The sequence below is a fragment of the Homo sapiens genome, chromosome 3, assembly GCF_000001405.40.
Source record: "Homo sapiens chromosome 3, GRCh38.p14 Primary Assembly".
Taxonomy (NCBI): Eukaryota; Metazoa; Chordata; class Mammalia; order Primates; family Hominidae; genus Homo; species Homo sapiens.
In genome coordinates this window covers 8,556,633-8,576,565 of record NC_000003.12, presented here as the reverse complement: position 1 = coordinate 8,576,565, position 19,933 = coordinate 8,556,633, and the positions used below count along the sequence as shown (strand labels likewise).

General features: G+C 43.3%; 1 protein-coding gene and 2 long non-coding RNA genes across 5 annotated transcripts in view; 1 reads left to right on the top strand and 2 right to left on the bottom strand.

The window, feature by feature from the left end:
• LOC107986009 (uncharacterized) overlaps positions 1 to 3,334 on the top strand; it is a 38,712-nt gene extending 35,378 nt beyond the window's left edge. Inside the window, exon 5 of the long non-coding RNA XR_001740420.3 lies at positions 2,692 to 3,334. This is a non-coding gene — a long non-coding RNA (uncharacterized LOC107986009). The remainder of the gene's footprint in view (positions 1 to 2,691) is intronic.
• LINC00312 (long intergenic non-protein coding RNA 312) lies at positions 1,898 to 4,784 on the bottom strand. The gene has a single exon (NR_024065.3). It is a non-coding gene; the product is annotated as a long intergenic non-protein coding RNA 312 (long non-coding RNA).
• LMCD1 (LIM and cysteine rich domains 1) overlaps positions 1,898 to 19,933 on the bottom strand; it is a 72,846-nt gene continuing 54,810 nt past the window's right edge. For all 3 annotated transcript variants that reach the window (NM_014583.4, NM_001278234.2, NM_001278233.2), the window contains 2 exons: positions 10,919 to 11,134; positions 1,898 to 9,126 (listed from right to left, as the gene is read on the bottom strand). In NM_014583.4, coding sequence (NP_055398.1) covers positions 8,968 to 9,126; positions 10,919 to 11,134 — 375 coding nt within the window. In that variant the 3' untranslated portion in view covers positions 1,898 to 8,967. The remainder of the gene's footprint in view (positions 9,127 to 10,918; positions 11,135 to 19,933) is intronic.

Here is a 19,933-nt window from a genome sequence, read left to right as displayed (position 1 = left end):
GGCAATTTTCTAGAAGATCACCTTCCTGGAGTGATGTTAGTGGTACGTGCTGGTCCCCGCTTTTTAAATGGAAGGCCTTTGGAGATTTCAATTTCTGAGTTTGAATCCTAGGGTGAGTTAGGTGAGACATAAAAGCATGGCCCTGTTAGTATAATGTTTCCCCAGCCCCTCCCAGGTAGTCTCTTAACACTTTGTGGGACCCAGTGTGAGTCTCCGGGTCAGTCCAGCCACTTGCCATTCTTAGAATATGCACGGTGCAAATACAGCACAGGCAACGCTTGGCTTTGAACTGGCAGGTAGACTCTACCAGAAGAGCATCTACATTCACCATTGTGTGTGTGTGTCTGTGTGTTTGTGTGTCTGTGTGTATCAGGATGCTGAAATGTCTCTCTTGGTGGAGAGGTAATATTTGAGCATTTGCTGGAAGGTCTCAGACTAGAAAGAAGAAAATTAGTGAGCAATTGTTCTGATAGATTTTAGGAAACTTACATAATAATTTTTTTTAAATTGCAGTTTCGAAGAGTAGAAGAGATTGCAAGTGAGTCATCTTCTTCCAGGGTTCACGGCTAGGTAATACAAACAACAGCAACAACAAGGGCAATGGCTGATACTTGCTGAACACTCACTATGTGCCAGGAGGTGTTCTAAAGCTAACCATGCATAAACCTATTAAATCCTCAGAACAACCTCACAAAGTAACACCATTACTATCTCCATTTTATAATGGAGAAACTTGGGGACAAAGTGAAATGACTCATCTAAGGTGCCCAGATTAGAATCAGAGGCAGTCTAGCTCCTAAGTCCATGCTGTTAATGACAAAGCTACACTGCCAGGCCTGTTGAATCTACTTGGTCAGTGAGTGGGAAAGACCACTCCTGCCATGACTATTTGTGGGAGGCTGAGGGATACCTTGGAAAGGAACACAAGGTGGGATTCTGCTGGGATTCAGGCCTGTCTTATTAGATAATTGTCTACTTGTTGCTCTCCTCTGACAGACCGTCACTCCTTTAGAACAAGAGCCGTGTCTGCTGTGTCCACTGTTGCATTTCCAAGGCCTAGCACAATGCTTGGGGCATAGTAGGTGCTGAGTAAATGCCCAGTGACTGAATGAATACAAGAATCTACTAATGAGTGAGTGAGCTTCCCATTGTTCAGAAGACAAAACACAGGGTCTGACATGAGTACGGTGTGATCAAGGACCAAATCAATTACATAGTCAGTTGAGACTCTGAGAACCTAAAGGAATAGCTGGAGGAATCAGTGGGGCTTCCTAAAGAAGGGAGAGCTTGTGCTAAACTTGGAAGGCAGAGGCAGCTGGAAGGAAGGCCTTTCAGGTGGGAATAAGCTGAAAGCTCAGTGTTTGCATGCTCTGGCCCAAGATGTCACAGACACCTCCCCTGCAGACAGAGACCACATGGTCGACATACTGAACAGACAAACACTGTTATATTTGGCCTGGGTCTTTGGTTGGAGCATGTTCTTCCCTCCAGCTTTGGCACTGGATGGTCCCCTTGTGTGGGCCAAGGATGACTGCCCGTCTGCTTTCTCCCTGTCCCCTTATCAGCAGAAAATGAACTCCGCAGAGCTCTCCTGTCAACTGAGGCACACACCATTCCCTTGTAGGGCAAAGGCTTGCGATTCCTTGTAACAATATTTCATAATTTATATATTTGATTAAAAACCGGAATCTGGGCCAGCAGCCTGCATACTCTAACATGTTGGGATCATTAGCTGCTTGTGTCACTCTTCTATTTTAAAACTTTCCATATTTGAACTCATGGAAGTACATCCTTCACATTTATTAAACTTTCCCCATAAAAACAGTTTAGTAAGTCTCCATCATCTTTCATAGAATTAAAAAAAATAAGGCCAAAATAAAACCCTCTGGACATTTCCTTCAGGGAATATCATTTTATTTAGGCCTTTAAAAACATTTGCCTTATCTTGCCAGTAATTAAAAAAAATTAATACAAATGAGAATTTTAGTGGCATTATAATTACTTCAAGATGAGCTGTGCCACTTGGCTTCTCTCCTGGCTCTGCTGCAGCTCTGTCCAGGCCTCCTGTGTGAGCTTCCGTTCCCCAACCCTGCACAGTCTTAGTCTCTTGGATTCTTTGGGTCAGTTCTCTTCCAGCTTCTCCAAGATTGCTTCTTCTCCATGCTTTGCTCCTGTTGCTCTCACAGGGACTTTTTTAAAATAAAGGGGACTGCTTCATGAGATTTGGGTGTGGCTGTCTTTTCTAATCCCTCCCCCTTCCCCACAGTGGTTGGCCCACGATGAAGGTATTGCCAATCAGAGTACCCTGCCCTCTGGGCACAGAGATTGGTCAAGGGATAAGCATAGGACTGACCCTTGTTGGCTGATCAAAGTTACCCCTGGGAAGCTCCAGAAAGAGAAGCTCCTTTTTCATGGGCTCACTGGCTCCAAGGACAAAAGTGAGCCCAGCTGCCACTGGTGGCTGTGTTTATGACTATCTGGGTAAGCCTACCTAAGAATAAAGCCAGTGTGGAGGAAGACAGAAGAGAGATGGAGAAAAGAAGCAGAGACTTAACTTGTGATTTGAACTACTGCATCCAATTGTTCCTGAAGCTAGCCCTTCTTCTGCACTTTCTGACTAGAAAGCAGATTCCAGAAAGCAAAACCCCTCTCATATTTTTTCTTTTCTTTTCTTCTTTTTTTTTTTTTTAGGTTTAAACCAGTTTTAATTGGATTTCCCTCACTTGCAACAAGGAAGACCTGAATAATATTGCTTCTGTCTGTATGTCCAAATACTTTCATTTTTCAAGAAGCAATGTTATACCAACGTCAGAACAAAGGAACACTTTATGCTGATCCTTGCAGTTTCCATTATTAGAGACCCAAAGGAATCAGACCAGGAGATCGTTTTGCTTTAAACTAGTAGAATCTGACCTAAGGCAAATATCACTTGAGAAAAAGGAGAAAACACATTTCTTCCTTCAACAGCGTCATCCCCATTCTTGGCAGAGAGAGATGTGAATGACCAACAGCCATGCCATTGCATAGTTTCATCTTTCATGTAACTTTTTCATATTTGAAGCCAAACATTTGGAGCCAAAGCCTGATAACCCAGCGAGTCAAGTGCTCATGTCACTATTGCTTGTGTCTCCATGGGACAGGCTTGATTGAAAATTGCTAAGACAATATTTTTAAAATGTTCTCACCACAAAAAATAACTATGTGAGGTAATGGATATGTTAGCTTGATTTAGCCATTCCACGATGTATACATATATCGAAACACCATGTTATAGACCATAAACATATGCAATTTTTATTTGTCAACTTAAATCCAAATAAACTAGGAAGTGTAATGGCTTCAGAAATGTGTAATTCACCCAAGCTACAACATGAAACATCTTGGGTATCCGTCACATTGTTTTTGGTTATAATTGACAAAATCCCCACTAATGAAAAGCTATATGTTGAAGAAATATCTCAAAATGAGGAAATGTACCACCCTACATAGAAAATAAGAAAATCAATTGTCTCATGTAGCAAGCAGTCCAGAGGTTAGTTCACTGTCTCCATGACATAACTTAGTACCTGGGCTCTGTTTAACTCTAAGCAGCATCATGGAAAGCTTATTGGCTTGGTTCGCTTGTCTCCTTAAGGTTCTAAGATGGTACCAGGAGTTCCAACACAACAACAGCCAGATTAAGAAGGAACCCCTTGAGAATGGCTGATTTCAAAGATGGGGCAGGAAAAATACAAGATGGGTATGTAGCACGTTATTGTGCCAGATGTAAAATGTGTTTAAAGAATGATGGGCCATGTCAAAAGGACATAGCAACCAGTTTGAAGGAGCTTTCTTTGGCCATAATTTGGGACAATTTGAGCATTAAAATAAATAAGGATGGTAATCAATTATAAACTATTTAATAAAATAGAAATCAATAACTCCAAGCTGATGTAAATATGTGAATTAATAAATGGGGAGAAGATAGTGCTTTTCCTTATAGTAGAATGCTAATAAACACTAAAGAAATGATTGAATTAGAAAAACCAACATTTGGCAACTATCATAATAATAATTAGTTCGATCAGTAAACGTCAATGAATACTAAGAATGAGTGAGTGGAATTTTGATGAAGAACAGGACATTGACATAGTCTCAAAGTCCCTAAACATACTTATTAAATACAAAGGACAAAGGAATGACTTTACAATGGAAAAATCTGGCTGATACTGGCATTATCAAATGTTCAAAATTCATGTCAACAGTAATGGAACAAATCAAAATCCTGTATCATCTGATTGGATGCAACAGAAAGAAAACAACATCACTTCTGTGGTATTCCTTCCAAAAAATGCATAAGCTGAATCTAATTTCGAGGAAATATCTGACAAACCTAATTTAATGGATATTTAACTCAACAACTTTAAATAACCTTTAATCTTCTAAGATGTCAAGGTCATGAACATTCAGGAAAGAACAAAGAACACTTCCAAATTGAAGAATAGACAAGATAACTAAATAGAATGAGTGATCTTAGACTGAATGTTTTTGTTATAAAAGACATTATTGGGACAGCTGGTGACACTTGAATTGGATCTGAGGATTACATGGTAGAAACACATCAGCGTTAACTTCCTGATTTTGATGGTTGTATTGTGGCTATGTGGGAGAATGTCCTTATTTGTAGGAATTACACACGAAAATATTCAAGAGTGATAAAGCATTGTGTCAGCAACACCCTCTAATAGCTCTTTGTTCTCTTCTTGTAACTTTTTTCGTAAGTTTGACATTCTATCAAAAGAAAAGAAAACAACAGCAGGGCTATTTACTGCACAGTATCTCCTTTCATTAAGGAAAAACACTTTTCTAAGACCCTCCTAAGGCGGAAGCCCCACTGGCTGGTAATAGAGGCGCATGGCCTTTCTCCAGCTGCAGACCAGGTTGGCAAAGCCAATTTACATAAAGGGGAGTGGGCTCTTCTCTCAGTCCAGTCGTTTCTCTCCATCCTCCCTTTGTCTCCATCCCCAAAGTCATATCTCACTTTGAACATTTTCTGCTCAGACTGACAAGTCTCCCTGACAGGAACTCACCCTCTCCACCCACTGCTTCCTTGCCACTAGGAAGAAGGAAGTGGGGTGTGGTGGCAATGTGTAGGCTGCCAGCAGTGTCTACCTCAGTCTGAAATTTTTATATTTGACCTTGGCCATTTTGGAACACAGTGCCATCAGCAAAGACGAACCATCCCAGAACCCCAGGTTGTTTGTTCTTTCATTTAGTTGCCAGGATTTGTACTAAGAGTTGGGGAAATAAAGATAATACGATTATTCTTTAGAAGTTCATAGGGGAAGGCTTTCATGAATAAATAATTATAGCACAATAAAGGCCTTGGAAGAATTACTGTAAGCCTGGGATATTATGAACTTACAGATAAAGGGCACCTAAAACACCCCAAGGGAAGGGTGAGGGAGGAAAGTCTTCCTAGAGAGTGGGAGGGGTGGGGATGGCAGCCCCTCTTCCTGCTGACATGGGAGATAGAATCAGGCAAGAGTTAACATGGATCTTTCCAATTCTGGTACAGAATCCCACTCAGCTATTGCAGCCCCCCAGCAGAGGCAGCAATTAAACACAGTGTGGGGAATTGCAGGCAAAAAGCACAGCGTGAGTGATGGTACAGAGGTGAGGAAAGCAGGGGCACACACTGTGACTGTAAACTGCCCATTTGGCTTCTGAAAGGATAACAGGAAGGAAGGAGGGTTGGGGCAGGAAAAATAAGAAACTCGACTGCAAGGTAAAACAGTTTCAATTTTTTTCTGTGTGTGCAACAGGGAGCCCCTGATTGTTCTTGAAGAGGAGAGTGCAAGATGAGGGTGTGTTTCTGAGCAATTCATCTGGAAGTGGTGGGTGGAGAGGGTGAGTTCCCGTCGGGGAGACTTGTCAGTCTGAGCAGAAAATGTTCAAGGTGAGATATGACTTTGGGGATGGAGTGAAAGCGAGGATGGAGAGAAAGGACTGGACTGAGTGACCCATCAGATATGAAGGCAAGTGGCAGAGATGATTCAGGTGCTCCAAATGCAAGGGTGGGTGTCATTAATAGACATGAGAAAGGCAGGGGCAGGTGCTGGGTGGTGCCCCATGGGGACTGTTGTGGGAGATAATGCCCATCCATGATGGTGTGACCCAGTGGACCAAGTCAATCATGCATTGTGCTGGGGTTTCAACAGAGAAGAGATGACGTATCTCATGATCTCCCTGTCCAGCCATCACCACCCCCTCCTTAAAGCTGTTTGAAGGCTCCCCCTTGCTCCTAGAACAGAGACCAGTCTTTTGAATTGCCCCAGAACTGGAGCAGGCTGGCCATGCCTGCCTCTCATGCCCCAGGCCCACCCTCCTCACCATGCTCTGTGCTCCTGCCACACCAGTTTTCTTTCAGTTCCATCCATGGGCCATGTTCACCACTGTATCTCCAACACCAGCAAATAGGTGTTGAATAAACTGGTGGGGCTTCCACCACAGGGCCTTTGCACATGCATTCATGTATCCATCTTTAACCATTGTCCTTCCTCTCTTTGCCAACTTAGAGGCAACCTATCCTTTTTTTTTTTTTTTGGAAACAGGGTCTCACTCTGTCACCCAGGCTGGAGTGCTGTGGCATGATCACAGCTCACTGCAGCCTTGACTTACTGGGCTCAGGTTATCCTCTAGAGTAACTGATACTACAGGTGTGCCACCATGCCAGATAGTTTTTGTATTTTTTGTAGGGGTGGAGTTTTGCCATGTTGCCCAGGCCGGTCTCGAACTCCTAGGCTCAAGTGATCCACCCGCTTTGGCCTCCCAAAGTGCTGAGAATACAGGCCTGAGCCACTATGCCTGGCAAGGCTACTCATCCTTTACAGCCCAGTTCAAGCATCACTTTCCCAGGGGCACCTCTCTCGATATTCCTAAGTCCAGTTTACATGCATTATAGTAACACAAATCTTCCTTTTATAGCATGCACAGTAGTGTAATTTTGCATTGACTTGTGAGAATATTTGCTTGAGGCCCATCTCCCCCACAGACCGTAACATCTATGGGCGTAGGGGTCACTGTTCTTTTTGTGCACCCCGCATCCCCTATATTCAGCATGGGAATTGGAACTTTGCCGTGCTCACTGAAATACTTGTGGAATGGATGAATGAATGATGAATTGGTGAATATTTCACTGGTGCTTCAGGAAAGTGCCAGAGAAGCAGGTTATGCTTGAGAAGCACCTTATAGGATGAATAGAATTTCAACAGCCAGAGTTGGTCTTCAGGTAGCCAGTCTTCAACTAGCAAAAGCAAAGGGAAGGGCTTGATCAGAGGGAGCTTCTGCATGCTTAGGAAGAAATAGGGAACTAGAAATCTAGGGAAATAAAGGGCTCCAAGGCCAGAAAGACATAAGCCAAGTTTTGGAAGGATTCAAATGTCCATGAGGACTTGGTTGTTAACTTGGCAGGCAATGAAGAGCCATGGAGATTGAGTGAAGGAAATGACACACTTGAAACTTATCTTTGAGAAGATGAACATGACGAGGAAACTGAGGGTGACTAGAGAAAGGAGCTGGGAGCAGAAAACCACTGCCTTGGGAGGATATAGCAATGGCTTTGGTGAAACTTATAAAGCACATGAATGGGGGTTTTCTAGGTACGAGATGGTCAGAGTGAAATTTGGATGGTGAGGTTAAAGAAAACTGGCAGCAGATGAGGAAGTTCAAGAAAGAAAACCACTGGCGACCAGACCGTAAGCTCCTAGGACTTGTGTCTTTTTCATCCTTATACTCCCAGTAGAAAAATATGTTTTTCTTAGAAACTGTGGGAAAGAAATTAATTTAAGAGCTGAAAATGTTCAGAGAGACCATAAAATGGAGATACAATTTGGCCCAAAGACCTATTCTACGTGACTCATTCAATGTTTAGTTGGCAACATTAAAAATTGAGATTTCTCATAAAAGTGGCATTGTTAAATTTTAGATTAATTTTTATTGAAAAAATTTTGTTTCTGATTGTTTTGGCATTTGAAAAAGTGCTGTATTTTTAAAGATCTGCCCACATTAGTCACCACATCCCATGTGGCACCCATTGGTGGAGCTTAGGTGGCCCCTGTTCAGTGGTTTCCCAGTACTGGTCTTATTCCCAGAGGGGTTCATTCGCTATTTTCCTGGGCTCTGAGGGCAGCTGAGTCAGGTCCCTGGCTAAAGAGAAGCTCATCAGTTCCCAGCAGGCCACTTTTCAGTGTACCATAAAACATGATACCTTTGTTACATTAGTGATCTGGGAGTATCTGGAATAGGCAGGTGGGGCGGGGGTTCTGTCCCAAAGCCTACACTCCCAGTGGAAGTCTGATGAGATACATTGATAGAGAGGCTCATTAGTATTTTACTATATTTTCTGCCAGCACTGGGTGTTGCAAAATCACTGCCATGGTGTAAATAATTAGATAAGGGTGTATGTGGAATTCACAAAACTTTTATTGATCTGTTTATCATGCCAAAAAAAGTTGTTTATTTAAAATTCAAATTCCACTTGAAAAAGAGGCAACAAGCGATAGTTGGGATCCCAGCCTGCTCCTGGAGGAGCTCCTGTGTCCACAAAAAAGCACGCACATTCTACAGCTATGCGATTTGCTCACTCGGAATTGCATTCTGGAAAACTCCTCCCAGAGTCCCCTTGCAGAACGCCATTTGTGTCTTTAGTTGGTTGTAGCTGGGAAACAACAACAGAAAGAAAAGGAACTCCATCCTAAGACTTCTTAGAATATTTTTGGTTTTGAAACTACTGACCCTCAAGGATCTACCACCACCCAACCTAGAATATATATCTATATATATCTCATATATATATTCTCACTGAAAAGCAAATCATTGTTTATTTCACTTGCTTGCTGTCACATCGGACCCTTAGGATGGTCTCGGCACACCTGGCTCTCCTTCTCGGTGGGATCCTGTGGATTCTGGCTGTGGGTGGGCAGCCCTTCAGGAGCGTTTGGACTTGCTGCAAGTTGGGCACAGAAGCTGACCCTTGGTGACGATGTACGCCCGGCCGCTCAGCAGCTGCTCACAACCCTCACAGACAAAGTGCTTTCGGTGCCAGGCCAGATCTTCCACACGCTGGTAGTCCTCAGCGAATATTATCTGGGGAGGGGAGCAGGAGAAATGCATGACTCAGTTTCTGTCCCTAGGTAGAGACGGTATATCTAGGACAAGTTATAGGGTGGTGGTTCATCCCATCCTATTCTTGTTTTGACCTTTTAAAGCCTTAGTGGAAAAATCTGGCATAAATTTGAGGCAGTAAGGATAATATTTGGTGAAGGTTGTGGTTGCATCTTAGCTTCTCAGACGGAATAAAAAAAATCCTCCACTACAGGCAGGTTTTACTTATCTAGGTATCTGTGATACTCTTTGGGTCAAATCTAAAGTTTAGTTCCAAGGTGGGATTACACACCCTGGTGAAGAAAGCTTAAGGATAGATAAACTGCCAATGGCCAATCATCAAGAGCAAGAATACAGAGGGTCACTTGGGCTTGGAATGAAGTGACACTTGGAATAGACATATTGTAAGGATCCCCTGAGGCTCAGGAAGTGCAGAGGAGCATAATGTTTAATGGGCCTTCTAGTATTGGAGTCAAACAAGAACTGGGTATGAGTTTTCACTTAAGACATCTACCAGCTTTGTGACTTTGGGCAAATTACTTAATCCCCCTGTGCCTCAGCTTCCACATCTGTAAAATGGGGATATAAATACTTTCCATCCCACAAGGTTCTATGATTGCCAAATGACCAACTACATATGAAAGGCTTAGAATGTTGACTGACACAAAGTCAGGGCTATCTAATTAGCATTGACCTTTCAGAGCTGCACTTTTCTTAAACGTGAAATGAGAAAAAATCATGCTTATCTCTCCCTAAAGGATTGTTGTGATATAAATAGCATGTTGTACGTAAAGTATGTAGCAAATTACTGACCCACCGTAAGCCCTTAATAAATGATAGAGAATTGTTATTGTGCATATACTGTTGTCACTTCAAAAATGAGGCTCCAGGGCAGGCCTGTGACAGTCCTTTTCCTTCTTAATATCACTTAATAACAGAGTTATTAGGTAAGAGGACTACAGGGTCTTAACTTCATATGGTGACCAATTCGTAGAAGGTGGTAGAAAATAGATGTTGGTTCAATATAAAGAAGACATTTCTAACCTTCATACATGCCAAAGATGAAGTTAGTATATTGCCTGCAACCAAAGGCATGCAAATAGTACATACTATGATCATAATTAGTATTGCCATTATTAATACACCTTAGAGTTACTTTCATCAAACCAGTATCAGAGACTTGAATCTCTTTCATAGCATCTCTATCATATTGTATTGTATTGTGTCATATTAATGTTAAGTCTCATATTATAGTATATTATCGTAAGACTAACAGCAGCTACCATTTATAAGTTCCTAGGTCAGGCCCTGTGGCAAGCATTTTCATGCATTATCTCATCTATCCTCATAGCCACTCTATGGGATGGGCGCTGGTCTCATCCCTATTTTATAAGTAGTAAAACTGAGACTCAGCTGAGGCTCCGGAGTTAGGTAACCACATGATAATAATAATAAGAGATGCAGATACAGGTTTGAACGTGGGCAATGCCTCCTGGTTCATCCTGCTATGTTCTGAGTACTTACTAAGTGCTAGGCATTATGCCAAGGACAAGATTCACCGGCACTGTGTCTGACCCCTCCCAACAATCCCATGGTTGTCTGCCTCATTTTGCAGATGAGAAAATGAAGGTTGAGAGCATGCAGTGAGGCCTGACTTCAGTTTCCCAATCTGTAGAACACATCATCCACAAAGCCATGCTCCTCTTGGCCTCTGGGCTTTTACCCTCAGCAGTGTCCCTCAAGCCCCCTAACCCATCTCGCGGCTATCTCCCACCTCATCGCAGCCGGAGCACCGGGGCCGCAGACTCTCGCAGTAATGGCGGCCGCACCAGGGTGCACCATCCTTCCAGAAGTAGATGAGGTCCACCAGCGGCTCGGAGCACTTGGCACACACAAAGCAGGTGGGGTGCCACTGCTTGTTGTAGCCTGCCCTGTCCGAGTAGACCACGGGGCTGTCAGGAGGGGCCGCTCCCTTGCAGAGCTCGCAGACCTGGAAGGATGGGGAAGGACCATAGGAGACAAGGAAGTCAGGAGAGCACAGTGACATGGGTTCGAATTCCAGCTCCAGCCTTTCTACTTCCTGGGTGACCTTGGGCAAGTCACTATACCTCTTCGTGCCTCAGTTTTGTCATCTGCAAAGCGACACAATAATATTGCCTACCTAACAGGCTATTCACGAGGACTAAATAAAGTTATTTATTTAGCACAGTGATTCCCAAATTGTTTGGTCTCAGTACCCTTTATACTCTTAAAAATTATCAAGACCCCTACAGAGTTTTTGTTCATGTGGGTAATAGCTATTGATATTTACCATAAGAGAAATTAAAACTGAGAACAATTTAAATTTTTTTAATTCATTTAAAAATGACAATACTAAACCTGTAATACATTAACATACCTATCTTGTTACTAAAATAACTATATGTTTCAAAACAAAAAAAGTAGAAGAAAATTTTAAGACATTGTTTTATATATCTGCAAATCTCTTCAATGACTTGCAGAAGATTGCTGGATTCCCATAACTGCTTCTGCAGCCCATCTTTTGCATGCTGTTGTTTTGGTTGAAATACATGAAGAAAATCTGAACTCACACTGACATAAAGTTGGAAAAAGGAGGACGATGCATTTTAAAGGACCTTCCAGGCAACTGTGGATATTCTTCTTTGATACTACAGTAAAATTTGACACAGGATACTTTCTCAAGTTAGTTGCAGTGTGAAATCTGAAAGCACATCAGTGAACCTTTCATATTTGTTTACATTAAAACCTGTTTGTTTACCTTGCACTTTGAATGGATCTTTTTACCCGTGCATGAAGAGTTTTAAATAATATTTAATAAATAATATTTTTGCCTAGAAGTGGTGCCTTATGCCTTTAATTCTAGCACGTTGGGAACTGGAGGTAGGAGGATCATTTGAGGCCAGGAGTTTGAGACCAGCCTGGGCAACATAGCAAGACCCCATCTCTACAAAAAAATTGAAAAATTAGCCAGTTGTGATGGTGCTCATCTGTAGTCCTAGCTACTCAGAAGACTGAGGTGGGAGGACTGCTGGAGCCCAGGAGTTTGAGTTTGAGGCTGCAGTGAGCTATGATCGTGCCACTGCATTCCAGCCTAGGTGACAGAGTGAGACCTTGTCTCAAATAATAATAATAATAATATTTGAGTAGTTCTAGAGTTACAGAAAAATTGCAAAAACAGCACAGAGAATTTCTATATATTCCACACTCAGTTTCTTGAGTTATTAGCATCTTACATTAATAAGGTATATTTGTCATAATTAATTAACCAATATTGATATGCTATTATTAACTAAAGTCCAAACTTTATTCACGTGTTCATAAACTTTACCCAATGTCCTTTTTCTATTCCAGGATCCCAGATTCACTTAACTGTCATGTCTCCTGAGGCTCCTCCTAGCTGGGACAGTTTCTCAGACTTTGTTTTTGGCCACCATGACAGTTTTGAGGAGTACTGGTCAGGTGTTTTGTAGAATGTCCCTCAGTTGGGATTTGCCTGATGTTACTATGATGAGTACGTTGGGAGGAAGATCACGGGGCAAACTGCTCCTCTTATCACATCCTTCAAGGGTACATACTGTCGCCCTCACTTGTCACTGTTGCGGTTGACTTTGACCTTCTGGTGGAGGCAGTGTTTGTCAGATTCTTCACTGTAAAGTGACTCTTCTCCCCACTTCCATACTATCCTCTTTGGAAGGAAGTCACCAAGCCCTCCATGTCTAAAGAGTGCTCCATCTCCTCCAGGGCCAAGTATCTACATAAGTTATTTGGAACCCATGCATGATTTTGGCAGATCCCCCAAAAGGACTCCATGTATGTTAGCTAACATTATTTTTTAAATACCTATGGAATTATCTAATTTATATCTGTTCTCTCCACTAAGCGGCTAGCTGCAGAGGGCAGAGAGAGGCTGCTTGGTTGCAGCTCTGACCCAGGACCCTCTACTGGGCCCCGCACACATAAATTCCCCATCAATAGTTGCTGAATGAAGGAATGCTCCACCCTGCCATGAGGCCTTTGCCGTTGCTGTTCAGGATGTCTGGTACATTGTTCCCGTTCCTGTTTGCCTGATTAACTCCCTTTCATTCTTCAGATGTGAGACTTAAAGATCTTTGGTTCTGGGAAATCTTCTCTGACCTCCTTCCAGGGGCAATTAAGTCCATAATAAAGCTTCTCTGCTTACCTTTCTCTGTATGGTTGTTTGATACCTGTTCTTTCTACACTAGATGGAAGCAGGAGCCACATCCAACTATGCTTGCTTTCACATCTCCTCGGTGCCAGGCACATAGTAGATGAACAATAAATATTTGGAAACCTCTGCCCTCCCACCTCATACTTCCTACTTAGGGGACAACAGATGAGTGTGGAAGACACTAGCAGATGATGCATCTGTCTGCACCTTAGAGACAGGTTTAGACTAAGTGCAGCAGAGAGCTGGGCTCCAGAGACAGTTGTGGAAAGTTCTTGGGAGCTTTCAAAACACTCTTGCCTTTCAGGGGCTCATCCATGTTTACTGAGCATCTACTGTGTGCTAGGCCCTGGACTAGATGCTGGGGATACAGCAGTGACCCAGGCAGATAATGCCAGAGCCTTCAGGGAAACTGGAGCTTTGTGTGTGTGGAGGCAGAAAATAAATATATAAAAAAACAGATGAGATAATCATGGAGTGTGATAAATACTAGGAAAACAATCACAGGGTAAGGGAATGGAGAGTGACTTTGGGGGTGGATAGCAGGGACCACCTTAGCAGGAGAGGCCTCTCTGAGGGATGAGGGGCTCTAGGGATCAACCACATTCCTATTTATCTCACAGCAATCCTCTGGATAGGAGATGTAGGTACACAGGAAATGCACTCATTTTATAGATAAGACCAGCGAGGCCCAAGGAGACAAAATAGCTTGTGAAGGGGGGCACAGCCAAGAAACAGAGCTGGGATTCAAACTGCCGCCCTTGGCTCTGTGGCTTTCTATGGGAACTGAGCTGGGTCGGGTGGGGAGACTAAACTCAGGGAATTGTCTGAAGGGCTAGGAGGGCTCCCAGGAGAATGCATTCTGGCATGGCAAAGGAGCAGCATGCCCAATGGCTAGAGGTGAGAAGCAGCTTCCCTACAGGGCCTCTCAGCAGTTAATGTAGCCAGTGCCTGGCTGTTTGTCATCCTCTTTCCATCTGGGGCTCCTTTATCTGTCTTTTACTGCCAGTAACATTTTCACTGGCCTGCTCAGAAACCATGACAAGGTGGACCTCAACTCATGTTGTTCCTCAGCTTCAGTTAGGATTGGGGCTTTGTGGGGAGGGTGAGTGTGCCTGGGAGAAGTTCTCTGTGAGAGCTCTAGATTTCTGTCTTCTGCCAGTTCCCAGGAGCAGTGAAAGTTGCTAAATGCTCATTCATTCACTGGTTCATTCAGGTATCCATCCATCGCACATTTATAACTTGCCTATTCTCATCCTCTAAAGAATGGGAACTTGACATTCTCAATCCACACAATCTTTTGAGTCATTTTGGAGTTATCCCCTGCTCCTGTAAGCCCCGATGATGATGGAAACGACAATGGCTGTCATGTCCCTACAGCGTGTCTGCATCCAGCACTGTGCTCAGGACTTTGCTCGCATTACTATTACCCCTTACATAAGCCCGAGAGAGTTATTTCTCCTTCTAGAGTTATTTTTCTATTCGGAAAATCATTATCTTCTCTCTTAGAAATTACAAAACTGAAGGTCAGGGAGATTCAGTGATTTGCTCAGTAATGCACAGCTGATGGGAGGCAAAGCTAGGATTTGAACAAAGGCCAAACCTGACTCCAAAGCCAAAGTTCTTTCTACTCCATCATGTGGACTTGAGATCCGGCATCAGTAAGCTACGGCCCATGGCCAAACCCAGCCACTGTCTGTTCTCGCAAGCCCCATGAGAATGAAGACTGGATTTTACATTTGCCCTCCAATTCAGTGAAATGTTTTCTCCCAAGAAAGAACCCCTTCTGCTTTTCTCATTAGTAGACCTATATTGGAAAAAAAAAAAAAAAAACTCTGTGCTCAATTATTATTATCTTTTGAATTTCATTTAAAAAACCCATGGAAAGTTGTTTTCTCTCTTGTTACATAAAGTGCCCACATGATATTGCAATTTTGGCTCTTGGCTCACATCTCCTAAAATATTTATCACCTGGCCCTCCAAAGAAAGTGTTTGCTGAGCCTGGCTTTAGATGCTAATTTAAACTTAGTAAGTATCAACTATGTTTCAGCCAAAATAGAAATATTTACTTTTTTGCCATGTGAAGACAGGGAAGCACATAAGAGTTTGCACACTTACTATTCTTAACTTATATACTTTGATTACATACTTAATATACTCATATATTGAAGAGGAAATAAACATTAAAATGGTGAAAATTAGGAAAAGAACACTGAATAACAAGGAACGTCATGTACTGATAGCAGTTTCTGAGCGTAGGAGCTCTTGAATGACTGCCTATATAAGGAATGTGTTTGGTCAACTAGATATATCTTGAACTGGATCCTGACTGTGCCTGATAATGTTCCTTAGAACATGCTAGATTTGTGGTTTCAGTTACACCCCCAAGAATGAGTGGTGTGAGTTTTTCGCTCAAATGAAAACCCTGTTCCTCTTCACATGATTGAGACTCAGCTGGCTTGGAGCCCATCAGGGGGTCTAGACAAAAAATCAGTGACCAGTCATCATCTACTTATTTTCACCCTCCCTCCTGCATAGCTGGGAACTGTAAACTCTTTGGCCAGGGCTGTCTGAATACAAAGTGAGTTGTCTGTCTGGCTTCTTATTTCTACAGAATGAAATTTCCAGCTCTTTCCCTCCCACACAAAAGGGACTTCGTGTCAGTTCACCAAACTACACCCCATTGGGTAACACCATGATATATCAATGGGGCTCCCCACTCCACATTTACAAATGTGAATTGACATGAAAGTAGGGAAAGGGAGAGGGATAGAAATGCACCTGGATTGGTCTGGGGAGCACCGGCAGGCACCCTGATGATACACTGAAGGAAGGAGGGGGATATCAGGTCCAAAAGGCAGTTTAGGGTGATCATGGGTGGCTTTGAACCCAGGTTATGGGTTGGGACTTCACTCTGGAGGCAATGGGTAGCCACGACTGGTTCTTTTTAAGACATTTTAAAAATATTTAAATTTTTTGTAGAGATGGGGTCCCACTATGTTACGCAGACTGGTCTTGAACTCCGGAGCTCAAAGGATCCTCCCGCCTTGGCCTCCTAAAGTGCTGGGATTATAGGCATGAGCCACTGCACCTAACCCGTTACTGGTTCTTGAGATGAGGAGTTCAAGGTTCTAATTTGCACTGTAGGGAGATATTCTCGCAGCAGTATGAAGGAAGGAAGGAAAATTCTTGTTCACAGAGCTTGTTTGCAACCTTCTCATCCGTTGGAAAGCACTTTGTGAAGCCCCTCTTGGAGGAGCATTTCTTCCCTCACTGTTCTCCCTAGCATCCCTGGCTCTTGGACTGGTTTCTACCAGTAGCCAGCCCCTTTAAGCAAACAGTATCATTATCACTCCATGAAAACAAGATGTCCAGGTAAGGAGCCCTCTCAACATGTGTCAGGATGAAATGTGCTCTTCTTGCCTCTAAGCCATTTTCTGTATCCTTAACTCAGTCATCTCAAAGGATGAGAGACCTGAGGTTGTCCTGGATCTATCGTCTGGTGGTCCCTCAGCCACGAGAGACAAGCTAGCAGCCGAGAGTCAGAATGCCAGCCTACTTGGGTCTCATCATCCTGGCCCTTTCTCAGCACAAACTTAGTCTCTCCCACAATTCTTTGTAGCGAGGTTTGCAATTTCTAAATTGCAACAGGTGGCTGAGAGGGGAGATACCAAGTCAGACTGCCTGGGTTCATAGCTGTGTGACCTTGGGCAAATGAACTAACTTACCTGTGCCTCTGTTTTTTCACCTGTTGAATGGCGATAGTAATGATAGCAACCTCATAGGATTGTGGTGTGAGTTAAATGACATAATGGAATTTTTGGACTTTATAAGGGCTCAATAATGATTTGCTAAAATCTCGTGTATTCCTTAACTCTGCCCACCTTGCAGGCTAGAAATGTAAAGCCCAGAGGGATTAAACCACTTTCCTAAAATGACAAAGATATGTTGAAGGCAGGTTTGGAGGCCTGGATTTCCTTCCATGATACCAAGGGCATGTAGACTAGCAGGAAGTCATTCCTGCCACTGATGAGCTCTATTTTTTCCCCTATCAGTTCTCTCCATTTGTGCAAGGCCAGAGAATCGAGTCGTGTGAGTTTTTCATCATTTGCCACTGCTCCAGACTCAGCTCCACTCATCCCCTGCTTGGAGGGCCTGCTCCTCCCCATATCTGATCCTGCCCCTGGAGACAGTGGTTCTCAGGGTTGAGCCTGCCTCAGTATCCCCTAGAGGGCTGGTTAAAACATATCTCTGCTCCCCCACCGCCACCACCTCCCCACAGTGTCTGATACAGTAGATCTGGGGTGGGGCACAAGAATTTGCAAGTTCCTAGGGGATGCTGGTGTGGTTGGGGCCACACTTTGAGAACCGCTGTTATAGACTGTTTAAAAATAACTTTATACATAAGCTCAGCAAAACTGATATCACCAATTCAGTTCAGTTACAACAAAGGCTCATTTGAATTCCTGGGATGTTTAAACTCAACACTATTTTTTAAGAAAGACCAATGAGGCCATTCTCAGGTTACTTCCCCTATTAAGGAGCTAGTATGGTCAAATGGAAGTTCTTTGGGACTATGGTAAAAGGCATGGAGAAGAATGCTTTATAATTAGCATATCAGTTGTTTCTTGTTCATGTTCCCAAATATCTAAGATTGGAGCTTGCTCGTGAGAACGTTTCCAACATTTGTCATGTGACCTTGTTTGCAGACTATTTCCCACCTGGGTAGAGGATGTGTGAAACAAACCTTTCAGAAATAGAACAAATGGGAAGTTTCTTCCTGTGCCAGTAAAGTGTTGCCTTGTTCCTTATTCTAATGGCATGAGATTCTTAATTGAAATGAAAGATTTTGAATATTGGGGCCTTTGCAATTTGTAAACACCTGCCTCAAGAAAGCTGAGGAACATTTTAGATTCAGCTGCTCAAAAGCTAAGACCCTGCAGAGTTGTGGGGTTCCCTCAGCCATGGGTGTTTAAGTCATGTTGGCAAATTTCTTGGATACCCTTCCAACCAACATAGAATTTAATTCCTTTTCCATGAATATGGTCCCACCTTAGTGACTCAATTCTATAGAACAGAACATGGATGAAGTGATGCTATGCAGCTCCCAGGGTAGTAATAAAGGCAGTGTTTTCCCCTGGGCTCTCTCTCTCAGTACACACACCTTGGGAGCCCTCAGCTGACAGGAAAGAAGTCTTGGTATCCTGAAGCTTCCATCTGAGGGCAACCACGTGGAGAGACCTCGGAGGTCAAGGAGGTCAATGGAGGGTCCCTGCTGTGTGTGTCTTCCCAGCCTCTAGCTCAAGCACATGAGTGAACGAGCTTCAGGTGATTCCAGTCTCTGGCCTGCAAGCTCCTCCAAGTGACACCGAATGGACAGAGACAAGCTGTCCTCACTGAACCCTGCCAAAATGGTGATTTGTGAGCAAAATACATGTTGGTTTCAGCCATATGCCTTGGGATGCTTTGATATGCAGCCCTAGGTGACAGAAACATCAAATGTGTACATGCAGAATTATTAAGGTTTCTGAAATAGGAGTAACCAAGACACAAAGTGTTTTAGGCAACAGCAGACTCGGGACAATGGCCAAGGGTTACTCAGCTGAAGAACTGTCTCGAAGGACTGAACTGTGTTGGCCTTCAGAGAGGGATCAGCAGATATGAGAAGGCTCTAAATCAGCAATAATCTCTGTCTCGGGTTTGCCAGAAGTTCTGTCTGAATTGTGTTGTTTTCCTCCAAAAGGCTCTTATCCAAAGGCCTATCCAGTCTAAACCCAGAGTGCCTCGTGGAAATCTCACTACTACAATACAGTAAATATTAACACAAGGGCCTTGAATTCAGGCACTGGGTTCTTTCCAACACAAATACTCAACAATTTGTTTATAAACAGCATCTCTCCATTTCCTCTTATGGTGACTATTTACCATCTTTGCTTTGCAGCCTCATGTATCCCAGAGGTTTTTATGTGTGTGTTTCTTTCTTCTGTAGTCTAACATCATTTCTGGCATCTTTAGCTCTCTTGAGTTCTGTTTCCCCACACTGTATAGTCTTCCCAAGGCTCCCTATGGTGCAGAATGGGCAGGGTGGGTAGGCAACGGTTTGGGTCATGTGCTTTGGAACATGGTTCATGCCATGGCTTCATCACTGGTGAAGCTCTTGGAAAAATCATCCAACCCTCTGAACCTCAGTTTTCTCATCTGTAGCACATCGTGGCAGGCCCTGGCTCATACGAAATGCCTTAGCCTGGTGTTGGTGGTCACTACTGTTAACTGACCCCTTCACCTTACATTTCTTCTTGGGGCAGATTATCCATTATGGGGCTCTCTGCCAAGCAAGGCAAAATATTAAACATTTCTAACTGAATCTCCCTCCCTGGTTATGTGATGAAGTGAGGGAGATGGAAAGGCTTCATAAATGCTACACGTGTAAGAGAACATCAGTGTGGGTTGTTCTCAAATCCAGCTCTGACAAGCATGGGCCCAAGGACTGGCTCCTTGCAAAAGGATGCTGCTTGGTCCACAGCTGAGCAGGGACGGAGTCTCAGATGTGTTCATTCCAATTGCAACGGCTTTGCCCGGGGC